We start from the raw sequence: 14,528 nt of genomic DNA on the forward strand, positions 1-14,528 counted from the left end.
GACACTCCTTTTTATTAGGCCCCAGTCTCATTCCAGACACCAGACCAACTTAGACTGTGCCCCAAAAAACTTGTCGTCCCTACTATCTTCTGTCTACTCATACTCCTATTCACCGTTCTCAACTACTCATACATGCCCTGCTCTTGTTTACACTGCTGGTTTACACTGTTTTTCCAAGCCATCACAACTGATATCTCCTGGTGCTATCCCCAAACTGCCACTCTTAACTCTTGAAGTAAATAAATAATCTTTGCTGGCAGCACTATGCTGAATCTCCTTAGGCACTCTCTAATCAGATATCCTGAGTCATCCCAATTCTTAGACCTTTTATACCTGTTTTTCTCCTTCTGTTATTCCATTTAGTTTCTCAATTCATCCAAAACCGTATCCAGGCCATCTCCAATCATTCTATACGACAAATGTTTCTTCTAACATCCCCACAATATCACCCCTTACCACAAGATCTCCCTTCAGCTTAATCTCTCCCACTCTAGGTTCCCACACCGCCCCTAATCCCACTTGAAGCAGCCCTGAGAAACATCGCCCATTCTCTCTCCATACCACCCCCAAAAATTTTCGCCACCCCAACACTTCAACACTATTTTTATTTTTCTTATTAATATAAGAAGGCAGGAATGTCAGGCCTCTGAGCCCAAGCCAAGCCATCGCATCCCCTGTGACTTGCACGTATATGCCCAGATGGCCTGAAATAACTGAAGAATCACAAAAGAAGTGAATATGCCCTGCCCCACCTTAACTGATGACATTCCACCACAAAAGAAGTGTAAATGACCGGTCCTTGCCTCAAGTGATGACATTACCTTGTGAAAGTCCTTTTCCTGGCTCATCCTGGCTCAAAAAGCACCCCCACTGAGCACCTTGCCACCCCCACTCCTGCCCGCCAGAGAACAAACCCCCTTTGACTGTAATTTTCCTTTACCTTCCCAAATCCTATAAAATGGCCCCACCCTTATCTCCCTTCGCTGACTCTCTTTTCAGGCTCAGCCGGCCTGCACTCAGGTGAAATAAACAGCCATGTTGCTCACACAAAGCCTGTTTGGTGGGCTCTTCACACGGACGCGCATGAAGCCAGGTTCAAGTGTTTCTCCTGTCTCAGCCTCCCGAGTAGTTGGGATTACAGGTGCCGGCCACCACACCCAGCTAATTTTTGTATTTTTAGTAGAGATGGGTTTTCACCATGTTGGCCAGGCTTGTCTCGAACTCCTGACCTCTTGATCCGCCCACCTCGACCTCCCAAAGTGCTGGGATTAAAAGCGTGAGCCACCGCGCCCAGCCTGATGAGTCTTGCCTGAAGCCAATTTACCCCCGAACTTTTCTGCTATATAAATCAATGCATTCCCATTTTTGCATAACCCTATTTTGTGCTGGGTTTTCTGTTGTTCAGAACTAAAGATTTTCTTTTTTTCTGTTTTTGGCAGGGTCTCATTCTGTCACCCAGGCTGGAGTGCAATGGCGTGATCACAGCTCACTATTAGGCATCGGGTCCAAAACCGTAGGTTCTAAGGGAGATTAAAAAGTCTAAGTCATGGTCACTATGAATTTATAGTGTTCGGGAGTGACACGTCCACCCCACCCACTCTGATTCTACCAAAAGTTGAACAATTTTAGAATTACCACAGGCAGTGAATAGGTGCCAGTTTGAAGAGGGATGCTCACTTCACTGCTGAGGAAGGGAAGGAGGGGTTTCGGAGGATGGGTAAGATGCCACTGAAGGCTGAGGAGGACTGAGGCAGGCAGAGGAAAGAGAGGTGGCTTGCTGGAGGTGGGAGTGGCATGGGCAGATGCTCAGAGGCCTGGGTAGCTTCCATGGAGTGAACCATTTAGTGAAGGAGCCGCGGGCTGCTTCTCAATCTGGGTTCCCCCGGAAGCGGACCCACAGTCAAGGATTCAGTGCAGGTATTTAACTTGAGATGATCCCTGGAAGTCCCGGTAGGGAAGTGTGGACAGGGAAGGGAAGAAAGCCAATAAAAGGGACTTTATCAAGCCCATTCCTGGGAAGGCAACTGGAGCTCTATCCTGCTGGAGGACCCTGTGTGGATCGTGCCTGAAAATCGTCCCAACCTGAAAGGGAGGAGGCTACACAACCTTGTCTCCTCACTGACTCAAGGCTACTCCTGGTGCCATTTACCCTTCCAGCCTGCCCACTGCTGGAAAACCAGGAAGGGCCCCAGGCAGCCAGGCTGAAGTGTTAGCCACACAGTGGGTGCAACTGTCACCAATTGCCGGAAGGCCTCTGCATGGAGCCAAGAGAGCAAGGATTTCTCCATCCACAGCAGTATCCCCAAAACCCATCAAGTCTCAGCCTGGGGAGTTTGGGGCCAGGCAGGGGAATGGAGAGGGAACACCCAGGAGTGGGGACTTTTTTTTTTTTTAACCCTGGAGCCCAGGAATGTTTCAACAGTCATGCTCCAAAGGCAAGGAGTGAATCCAGAGAATCGCCCAACTCATTCCCAGCTCTGCTGACCTCAGTTGGTGAATTAGGTTTCAGTGCTGCCCCCAAATGACTCTGCTCCTCCTGGGAAGCCCAGGTGAGCCATTCGCTCAGAGCCATCGGGTTCACCTTTGCCCTCGGCCCAGCACAGTAGCTCAAATCCCTACAATTATGGTTTTAAAAAAGCTGTTGGCCTAGGACCAGGCACTTTTGTTTTTCTCATTTGCAGTGCAAAATAAATGCCGATTTCTTGTTGACAACCTGCGGTGCACTTGAAGCAGTCCGTGATTTAAGCACTGTCCTCGTTTTATGGAAAAGGATTCGAGGAAGAAATAGACAAACCACATGAAGAATATTGGTGAAGTGGGAATATTTATTCACTAAGGAAGCCCTTAAGTTAGAGGGTTCTTACCACAAGCAAGAACTTTCCTTTCCTCAATCTTTCAACAGGTGAAGGGAGCAAAACAAGGCCCTGGCTTTCATATATAAATAAAGATATAGACTTTTCTATGAAGAAAAGTAAAGCAAAGCAGGGCAAGGGGGAACCCTGTGACAGGGTGTGTTTTATTTGAAGTAGGCCTCTCTGAGCACATGGCATCTGACTAGAGACACCCAAGAAGGTGAAAGAGGTGTGAATGGAGGCCATGCGGCTACCTGGGGAGAAGGGTATTCTAGAAAGAGGGAAGCAGAAGGCATTACCATAATGATGTATAGCTTTTGCATAAACATGTGATACTGGTTGCTTTAGTTACCTACGGCTGCTGTAACAAATTACTACAAACTCATTGGCTTAAAATGCCACAAACTTACAAGCTTACATTTCTGGAGGTCAACGGTCTAAAGTGGGTCTTCCAGGCCAAAATCAAGGTGTCAATAGATCTGCATTCCTTCCATAGGTTCTTGGGGAGAACCTGTCCTCTCACCTTTTCCAGCTTCCAGAAGTCGCCGGCATTTCTTGGCTCATGGCCCCTTCCTGGCATCACTCTAACCTCTGCTGTCATCATACCTCCTACTTGGTGACCCTCCTGCTCCCTCTTGTAAAGATCCTATGATGACATTTGTCCTACTGTAAAATCTAGAACAACCTTCCCATTTTAAGATCCTTTATCTAACCATATCTGCAAAGTCCTTTTTGGAACAGAAGGTAATATATTCAAAGGTTCCTGGGATTAGGATGTGTACCACTTTGGGGGGCCATTATTCAGCCTACCACACCAGTGTTCGGCTAACATTTGGCTAATCAGAATGCTGGGACCTTCAGTCTTCAGGGCCTGCTGGCCTGGGGTGGGTGAACAGGAAAGGACCCAGAAGCAGGTGACTGGCATGTGAAGCTCTGGGGAGGCTGGGCACAGATAATCAGAGTGAGGTTCAGGCAGCTTTGGTCCATTGGGGGCCTATAGGTGGGGCTCCCAAAGGCAGGATGGCCACAGATGTCTCTCCAGGTGAGAAGCCAGGCATGAAGGCAGAGGAACAAGCTAAGTGACAGCATGAGGAAATAATCGGCCGGATCCAGACAACTGAGAAAACCTGAATATGGATATTGCAGAATTGTCCATTTTATTAGTTGGCATAATGGCATAAGTGATGTTTTTTTAAAAAAAAAAAATCCTGATTAGGCAGAGCTGCAAACTAACTTTAGAGTGAGATAGCATTTGGTCTGGAATTGGCTTTAAAACATTCCACTGACAACCACTAAAAAAAAAAAAAATGCGGGGGAATAGCTGAAACAAGGTTGGCGAAATGTTAACAGTTGATGCAGGGGGTGGATACACGGGAGTTCATTATAAAACATCTATATATTTATGCATGTTTGAAAAATCTCATTAAAAAACCTGAAGTCTTTTGGGAAGAAGCAAATGAGGGTTAAGGGAAGAAATCTGGCTTTTGAATTAGAAAATGTATATGCGCATGATGACATGTTCAAACTCACCAGTAATCAAAAGAGATGCAAATTAAAACAAAGAGATATTAACTTGGCAAAAATGAGCAAGTAGAATAATACCAATTGCTGGCAGAGATGTAGGTGGACGTGTCCACGGGACAGGCATAGTGAAGAATATGGCCCTACTTGCTTGAATAAGCCCATTCTATGATCTGGCATATAGCACAGAGAGTCTCATAGGGAAAATGTGCAAGAATGGCTCACTGCAGCTTCATTTACTGCAGTGCAAAGCTGTGAGTCAGTCACCGGGAGGGTAGGCTGGGAAGATGTCGGGGTTGTACCTGCAAACAGTATGGAATAACCAGAAGCGACCAATTAAATGTCCCCATAGCAAGAATGGGCCTTAAGCCATCAAGCTGAGAGAAAAACAAACAAACAAAAATAAGCAACAAAATGATATCAAAAATGTAAATTCAAAATACAGCCCCACAAAACAACATATTCATTTGGAAGGACATACATAAACAAGAAAATTCACATGAAACACAGAGTTACCTGAAAGCAGAGATCAGCAAACTGTGACTCTCAGGTGAAATCCACCCTTAGCCTGTTTTTGTAACATTTTATTGGAACACCGCCATGCCCATTTGTTTATGTATTGTCAGAGACACATTACATGAACAAGCGATGATAATGTGTCATATACTAAAGGGTACATAGTATTCACTCAAACCTCTGCACCCGAGCTTTAAAAAAAGAAGGTAAAATTTAGGCTGAGATTCAATAACTAGGAGAGCCTTGGGAAGGCGCTTTTCCTGCTTGAGCTGCAGTCTTTACAGTCTTCACAATTACAAAAACAGGGTACCGTCCATCTCAGAGATAATATACCTGCAAGTGCCTTGTGAATTAGAATCACACTTTCAAATGCAAAGGTTTCTTATTATCAGGGTAACAAGGAAACAGCAATGGTTTCACAATGTGTTCTCCCAGCCTTCTAATAGAATGTCTTATCCATTAGTTCCTTGCCCACTTTCTATGGTGAAACTAATGGTAAGGAAGTAATTAGAAGGCAAAACAAAGACAAGGGAAACCGCAGACCAACAGGATCCACAAATGGGAAGCAAACCGGGGCAAGCTTGGAAATGCCACAGAGGAGCCACCAAGGGCAAATGGGAATGGGTTTTTCCATGAAGGTAAATGTGGAATGGGTCCGACCTTGTGCCCACTGCCCGTCAGCCCTCAGAAGAGGAAGCAGGCTTCATCAGGGTAATGTCACCTCATCACATCTGATAGAGGGATGGAAAAATGGGCGATTTCCTCTAACAGGATACAGCAAGCATAGCTGCCATGGCTTAGGTGTTGAGCAGGTACCAGGCATATGCCCAACTTCTCACAATTGTCTTATTTAATCATCAAAGTACCCTATGAGGTAGGTATTACTATTATTATCCCATCTTACAGATAATCATATTGAGGTATCAAATATTGTAATAGGAAGCATCAAAGATTAAGTAATTATCCCCAGGTAACCTGAGTGGGAAGTGGCAGAATCAGTAGAGTCAGCCCTACTCACAACCCTAAATGACAGGTATTACCATCACCAGTGAACAGAGGGAGAAACTGTCTCAGAGATGTGAAGTTACTCAGCTGGGAGTGTGGAGCCAGGGCCTGAATCAAAAACTGGCTGACTCCAATTGTCCTACCCTTTCACTACTGCATCATAATGCGTCCCTGAGCCCAAAGGATCATTTCCTAGAAAAGCCCCTTCACCTCTCCAAGCCCCGAGCCTTGTCATCCAGCACAGTATTCCTAGAAAGGAAATGCAGATTGGGTGCAGCTGGAGGCATCACTGTGTGGGTGCTTCGGCAGCTCTGTGTTTACATTCCCTTGGTAAAGACATCCAGCTCATTTCTGTTGGCTTATTTGAGGGAATGCTGTCTGCTGTAGCTAAGAAGCTGAAATTGAAAAGGGGAGGCGGCATGGAATGATGATGAGATTAGGTTTGGAGGAGGAAAACAGGATCGTAGGTCTGCCTGTGACAACTTGGGCAAGTCATTTCTCAAACCTTGTAAAGGTTGGGTTTGCTTCACTGAAAATGGAGACATCCTTTCCACTCCCACAATGATATATACTTCCCACTCATTTAAAAACAGGCCTCTTTTTTTTTTTTTTTTTTTTTGAGACAGGGTCTCTGTCGCCCAGGCTGGAGAGCAATGGCGTGATCTCTGCTCATTGCAACCTCCGCCTCCCAGGTTCAAATGATTCTCCTGTCTCAGCCTCTCCAATAGCTGGGATTACAGGCACCCGCCATCATGTCTGGCTACTTTTTCTATTTTTGTAGAGACGGGGTTTCACCGTGTTGGCCAGGCTGGTCTTGAACTCCTGACCTCAGGTGATACGCCCACCTTGGCCTCCCAAAGTGCTGGGATTACAGGCTTGAGCCACCGCACCCAGCCCAGACCTCTTAATAATTTATTGAATACTTGAACTTAGCTGGGGACTATGCTGGTTTTGCATACATGACATAATTTTATACTTAATAGAAATATAGGAAATAGATGGCTATCCCCATTTTACAGATGACAAAACTGAAAAAGGGTTAATTTCCTCAGTGGACCCAGGATTTGAATCCAACTCCGATACCAGAGCCCATTTTAGCCCAGTGGTTCTCAACCCTGGATTTGTATTAAAAGCAAATGAGGACTCATGAAAAAAATGCTGATGCTTGGGCCCCAGACTTGATTTAACTAATCTGAGGTGGGGGCTGAGTTAGGAACCACTGTTTTAACCACGTTACAAAGCAGCACCCTTAAAACTAGCAGTTCCTCTCTCATCTCATGTCCACGCACAGAAATGCACAAAAGGGAATACAGCTGTATAATAAACTAAGACGGCTTCATAATATGTGGCAAATTATATTCTTAAGCAATTAACTGTTGCTAACTCTCAGCTATTATATTAATTTATAATAAATGCAAATGAATATATTTGGCTTTGCAATTTTAAAAAAATCTGAATTTGAAAGGTGTAGCATTCTGATAATGCACATCACTTTAGAATGCTGGGTTTTTTTCTTTCTGTTTTTAGTGAAGACATAAATCAGGAAAAATCAATCAAGCAATAAAGAGCTCTGGTAAAACAGAGTCCAGCCAGCACTCCCACCAAAACAGGAGTAAGTTAACTTCCAAATTGCTAAGGATGGCCCACCGGCAGTTAGAGCTTTGTTAGGCTGAGGTTTACACCAGGGTGACTTTTTGAAAGGTCAAGTTACACCGGAGTGACCTGCACCTTCTCTCTTATACCCATAATAAGATGAATTAATCCTTAAATTGGGGAACTAAGCTTCTGCCAGTAGGTATTCCTAAAAATGTGTAGGTTTAAGCAGAAACTGGCACTGTATATTGAAGTACCATTTTGTGGCACTTAGTGCTTTATAATCTTCTCATCTTCTTACTGCCTAAGTGACCCGGGACAGTTAATATCTCTTAGCCTTACTTCATATATTTAATGCAATAGGAATAACACCCTGGGTTCTTCCTAGGGTTGCCATTAGAATTAAATGAGCTCATTGTGCCAGTAGGTCTAGCAGAATGCCAGAGAAGAGGCTCACTAAATATCAGATCTCCACCTTTTTCTAGTCATGCTTACGTTCGGTTAATGGAAATGGGGCTTGACTCAGACATACCCTTAAAGGATCTTGGTGCCATCTTCTTCTGCTAAGAGTTAAAAAGATTTCATTTTAAATACAATTCACAACTGTACCTTCACCATAAGCCTCATTGTATTCTCCCAGCCTTCTAATAGGTCTTATCCTTATTTCCTTGCCCATTCACTGGGGTTAGGTCAAATGGCACAAAACCACATGAGACCTGTGCATGTTGCCCATCAGACAGGATAGGCTAAGTTACACAGTAGTAACAAACAGCTCCAAATCTGAGTGGCTCCTACAACATCAATTGATTTCTTGCTCATCTCCATCTTGGGTCTGTTGGGAGCTTTGCTCTATGATGCCTCATGCTGGAACGTTGCCACAGCAGGGGGAGAGGGAGCACGGTGAAATGACATTGTGCTTGTACAGCTGCCACCCAGATGTGACCCCATCACTTCTGCTCAATCCTGTTGACCTAAGCAAGTCTCACCTGGCTATATGTAACTTCAAGGGGGCAGTGCAAACCTACCACATGCCTGAAATTAGAAATATTTGGAGAACAGCATTAATGACTACCACAGCGATCTTAGTTTACAAAGCATCTGTCACAATGATTACCCAACTTAATCCTCACAATTCCAAGATGGTAATTAATCATTAAATGTGATCATTTAATTATAAGGCATCAGCAAGCACCAACCAAAACAGAAAACCCAATATAAACAGTTCAGGCAACTCTGCCCACTAGTGAGTGAAAGTGTCTGGAGTGCATGAGATACGAGGTATGAATCTGCTACGTGCTCAAGCCTTATCCACCTCTCCAACCTCTCCATGTGTGTGTCATCTATGAGTGGGATTCTGCTTTTGATAAAGATATTTCTTTTTTTGTATGTGGCCTCTGAATGAAGGCCAACCAAGATTCTCAGCTCAAAAGCTGTAATCTTTCAATGTTGGAGGGGAAAAAAGGCCATTTTCCCCCTGCAAAGTAATCAAGCATGCTTCCCTGTCACACCACCTTCTTAGGGAGACTCAATTTGGACTATATCATGATTTCTGCCTTAAGGACTGACTTTAGAGTCTGCCCCTGGATGAGAGCTGAGACATCACTTCATCATTCTCTAAAAGATGAAGAAATGAACAAAGTTTCAGCAGTCAACAAGGACACTGAGCAAGGAAGTGGCTCAAAATTCCCATTTCTTTAAGGCAAGTCTCCTGTAAGGGAATAGCTTAGATGTGGCTCTCCCCATCCAGCTCAGTATTTCACCTACCTATTCCACAATGAAGATGAAAAGTGTGAAGCAGGAGGGTAGCAAATAGTCCTCACTTTTGTTAACCCCCTCAGGGAGGTTTTGGTTTCAAAGTCTGACCACTGGGTGTCAGGCTTCGGGGGAAAGAAAATAGAGATGGTTTATCAACCCCACTTAATTATGCCAGAGAATGCAGGTGAGATTTGCTAAAGGACAGAAAATCAGCTGGCTTAAGTCTGTCAATATGTCTGAAGAAGCTTACTAAACTTTCACTCATCTGACTACACCAATAAATATTTATCTTTTCTAAATCTGTACAAATAATTCATTAGACAGCACACAGCGATATTGACCTCAATCCTGTCCTTGATTTAAAGATTAAAAGGGAGTGGTCAACTTCTGTATCTAGCAATTCTGAAGACAGATAATCTGAAAGCGTCCCTGCAACAAAATACCTAGAAATGCATATAATGAATATGCTTAGGGAATAAATACTTTTTTTTTTTTTTTTTTTTTTTTTTTGAGACGGAGTCTCGCTCTGTCGCCCAGGCTGGAGTGCAGTGGCACGATCTCGGCTCACTGCAAGCTCCGCCTCCCGGGTTCACGCCATTCTCCTGCCTCAGCCTCGCGAGTAGCTGAGACTACAGGCGCCGGCCACCGCGCCCGGCTAATTTTTTTTTTTTTTTGTATTTTTAGTAGAGACGGGGTTTCACCGTGTTTGCCAGGATGGTCTCGATCTCCTGACCTCGTGATCCGCCTGCCTCGGCCTCCCAAAGTGCTGGGATTACAGGCGTGAGCCACCGCGCCTGGCATAAATACGTATTTTTAAATACACAGCTGAGTTTATTCTGGGATGGGAAGAAGGGACTGGAAAAATTCAAACAGTAAGAGTGATGTGACTGGGTATGCATTGGAGACAGGAAGAGGAGGAATGAGTCAAGTGCTGTAGAACTGAGATTTCTACATAAAGTCTGGGCCTTTAAAGGGACACAGGCATAGGACAATGAAGTTCTCTGCACTGGCTGCAGGTGGTGTAAGGTATACCGAGGAAAATAACCAGCTCTACAGATTAAGTTAATGGGCTCTGTGGACCTTTCCCATCCCTCTGCCTGGGGTTCACCGTTCTCACTAGTCCTAAACCTTGGGCAGGTTACATAACCTTATGGTACCCCGTTTGCCTTGGTTGTGGTATTGTGAAGAGCCGATAAACCTCGTGCATATTAAGTGCTAAGTGTACAAAAGCATGGAAGGGGCAAATCAAAAGTGGAAATATGTTTTTCTCCCAGAGATCAAGATTTTTCCTTAAGAAAGTCAAGATATGGTTATGCATTATCTGCCTATTTAATGAAAAATAAACATCTTTAGTTATAAAGGACCAGGATTTCATAGCCTTATCAAATGCTAATGAAATGAGAAAAAAAAGTTTAAAATTAGCAAAACGCTTAAAATTTCCTCCATAGTTATATCACTAAAATAATGGGGGGAAATGTTCTTTTGATAACTATCAAGTTTTATATCCTTTCCTTAATGCCACTGGCAGAGTTCAAAAACGGTTTTTATTTGGGGAAAGCAAGAAACCAAATAGGATTATAAAATACCACAGGTACAGCCGGGCGCGGTGGCTCACGCCTGTAATCCCAGCACTGTGGGAGGCTGAGGCAGGTGGATCACCTGAGGTCAGGAGTTCGAGACCAGCCTGGCCAACGTGGTGAAACCCTGTCTCTACTAAAAATACAAAAGTCAGCCAGGCATGGATGTGCATGCCCGTAGTGCCAGCTACTGGGGAGGCTGAGGCAGAATTACTCGAACCTGGGAGGCGGAGGTTGCAGTGAGCCGAGATCTTGCCACTGCACTCTAGCCTGGTGGACAGAGCGAGACTCTGTCTCAAACAAACAAACAAAACAAAACAAAACACAGGTACAGGATATACTCCATAGAGAGGAAATGCTCTCGCTTAGGATGAGACAAAATAACAAACTGAATGACCTTGAACAGAACTTGGTTATCTTTGGGTCTTGGTTTTCTTTGAGTATGAGGATTTGAAATCAATTACTTCTGGGGTCTCTTCCAGCACTTCCTGATTTTATGACAGTTATTCCAATTGCAAAAGAAACTAACTACCCATTTGGCCCTCCCATTCCACAAAAACAAAACACACAGTATCATTTCAAGAGTCAGAGTCAGATTCTTGTTTTGAATTTAAAGTGCTACATGACTGCTAAGGTTAAAACTCCTTTCTTTCAAAAATCAAAAAGGTTGAATCATCAGAGGATAAAACCCATCACCACTGCAAACCAAAGTGGATTTTCAACCTAGTAGAAAATGTGAATTGACAAAGCATGCAAAAATTAGCTCAAGTAGCTGCAACCTTCTTCTATAAGTATCCTGGTAAATGCTTAGGAGTTTAAGTGTGTATTGTTTATGCTGCAAGAAGCATATGAGGTTGAAAGCATGGATGTGTTATGCCCAGAAACTGGAATCTTAATTCAATAGGGAAAGAGTCTTCTTCAAGTAAAAATAACACAACTAAAAAATTACAAAGTCTTAATACGAACTGTTTAATTGTTATAACAAGATTTGAGAGGCAGGGGTAGGTAAGTAAGTCACCAACTGGCGATAAGTCACCAACTGTTAATATGTGTCTGCAAGTTTCTTGTTTTTCACAATCACTAGATTTACATACAATTATAGGTTATGGTTCTCCATGTACACATACAGTGAAAGACATTTTCCAAATACCTTTTGATGTAGAATGGAACCTGAGACAAAAAAATCACTTAAGAAATCAAATCTCATATAATGGAAATACTTTAACCACAGCATTCACACATTTGACTGTGGATTCCAAATGCTTATCTAAACAGAGGCAACGCAATTAAACTGCCTTCACTCAAAATGGTGTCAGAAGGCAACTACCCTATTTACTAGCCACTGATAAGTTATGACAACACTATTTCATAGCCTGTCACTATATTTCTTTTAACCCCCCAGCAGTAGGATTTAGGATTTCCTCAACACTAAGGGCTTATCTCAAATGCTTTAGTGCACGAACAGTAAAAAATCAGAGTTGCAATGCCACATTGAGAAACTAGATAATGACTTGGAAATAAAAGTGGGGGAAGTGATGAACTGCCACTACCTGTTTTTCTAAGTTTTCTATTTTCTAATACAGAGCAAAACTTTAAATGCTAACGACAAAAATAAATCTAACAGGCCTAGAAATTCTGAAGGTAACCCAGTGACAATAGAAAACTTTTAGATCACTATTAAGAGGTCTTTATATTGTTCATAAACAATAGGAAAATAAGACTGATACTGTTTATAATTACTAACTAGATAAAATTTGGCAAAAGACATCTAATATACTTTTTACAATGAAAATGATTTCTAAAAATGATTCCCTTGATCTCATACCTATAGAAAAACTATCAGTGATTACTTTTTAGTATGAAAATAATAAGCTAGTTACACAATTTAAATATTATTTTCTGACTTTTCTCTCTTCCTTATGAGACTGGGGAAAAAAGATGTTAGAGGAGAAAAATAACTGTTACATGCCAAATAGTTCAAAATCTTCCCCTGGAAACTGAAACAGGATCCTTAGAAAGTACATAATGTCCTGGAGTTTCCCTTGTAGACAAATACTTTGGTCATTTATTTGTAATCAGATACTGATTTTAGCAGATTACAGCACTTATAAACATTGTCACAGACCGCACAATGTCCATTCATAAATAAAGGAGGTTTATTCATGAAAAGGTTGTGATTCTTCTGAAAGCATCCAATACAACCTTTCTGGACATTTCCCTTTCAGTATTACCTGGCATGTAATCAGGAAAGGGAAACATTCAGGTAAGTTACAACCTCCAGTCATATTCACAGCAATATGCAATATGGACATTTACAGGGGGAATCCCTTTGCAGGTGACTTCAACTAGAAATCCCAAGAGTCACAGTAAATGTTTCAAAGTCCATATAAAGAAAGAAGCTTGGCCGGGCGCGGTGGCTCACGCCTGTAATCCCAGCACTTTGGGAGGCCGAGGTGGGTGGATCACTTGAGGTCAGGAGTTCAAGACAAGCCTGGCCAACATGGCGAAACCCCATCTCCACTAAAAATACAAAAATTAGCCGGATGTGATGGTGGGCGCCTGTAATCCCAGCTACTCGGGAGGCTGAGACAGGAGAAACACTTGTACCTGGGAGGCAGAGGTTGCAGTGAGCCAGATCGTGCCACTGCACTCCAGCCTGAGCAACAGAGCGAGATTCTGCCTCAAATAAATAAATAAATAAAAGTATTTGCTGAAAGAATGATATTGTATACCACAACCAGGTGCAAGGGACATAATGATATGGCTCCAACCCTTAAGAAACTCAAAGCCTAGCAGAGGAAAACAGCTTTAAATACCTGAACAGGTTCCAAGGACAGAGATAGAAAAAACAGTCTATCTTAATGATGGCTCCAAGTTATGGATAAAAGCAGTGTAGTGTAAATAAGCAGAAGAGAATGGGTGGTTCACCTTGCAAATACTTCTAATCCCCAAACCAAGCAAGTGACTTCTAGACTATGTTCACTTCAGACTAGTCATATCATTGCTCTACTTTAAAAACAATACGAAGAAATGATTGTACTCAAAACCTGTATTATATTAAGCAGCAAGCCACCAGTAAAAAGATCTTCCGGTCAGACCCTTGTAGCACTACTTAAGGAAAAGGAAGACCAGGAGTGCAGGAAAGTCCTCTTCCATGTCTGTTTTCTTGTCAACATTAAACCAGAATGAAAAATAATTAGACCCACCTTGTCCACGCAGGTGTGTAACTTCCTAAACTTAGGATGAAAATCACAATCTTAGAACCATGCACCTATCAAGGACATCAACCAAGCTTTACATATCCAAGCTCCCCTGGCACCCAGCTCAGGAAAAATAGCATCAAGGTTGAGGGAGCACTTAGCTAAGCAGAGTGGAATGCCAGCTCTGCAGATAAACAGCCATGTGACCTGGGGCCTCAGTTCTTCTGAAATAAGGAAATAATACAATCTACCCCAGATATCACAACTTAACTGTAAGGTTCAGTTCTAAGAGTTCCTGCAAATTATTATATAAGTTGTTACTGACTGCTTTCTTTCCTTCCACCATGTTGATCATTTTTCCTACTGTCTTCAGTCTGCCTTACTGCTGCTTGTTTAAAACAGTGACTGTCCAAGAGCCACCTGTACTGTTTAAAAGTTAGCTATACCAAAAGACACCAACTATTACATTTCTCCATGGTAATAAAACAAAAACGGGAAAATTTGCATCT

General features: G+C 42.8%; 1 annotated feature.

Annotated features, from left to right (window-relative positions):
- Positions 605-1,342: an enhancer, noted in NCBI's record as "OCT4-NANOG-H3K27ac-H3K4me1 hESC enhancer chr4:24507891-24508628 (GRCh37/hg19 assembly coordinates)". NCBI's record gives its function as "activates a minimal SCP1, AML or CMV promoter by ChIP-STARR-seq in naive H9 embryonic stem cells {active_cell/tissue: H9 hESC(naive)}" and the evidence as "EXISTENCE:reporter gene assay evidence [ECO:0000049][PMID:30033119]".

The sequence above is a fragment of the Homo sapiens genome, chromosome 4 (assembly GCF_000001405.40).
Source record: "Homo sapiens chromosome 4, GRCh38.p14 Primary Assembly".
Lineage (NCBI taxonomy): Eukaryota > Metazoa > Chordata > Mammalia > Primates > Hominidae > Homo > Homo sapiens.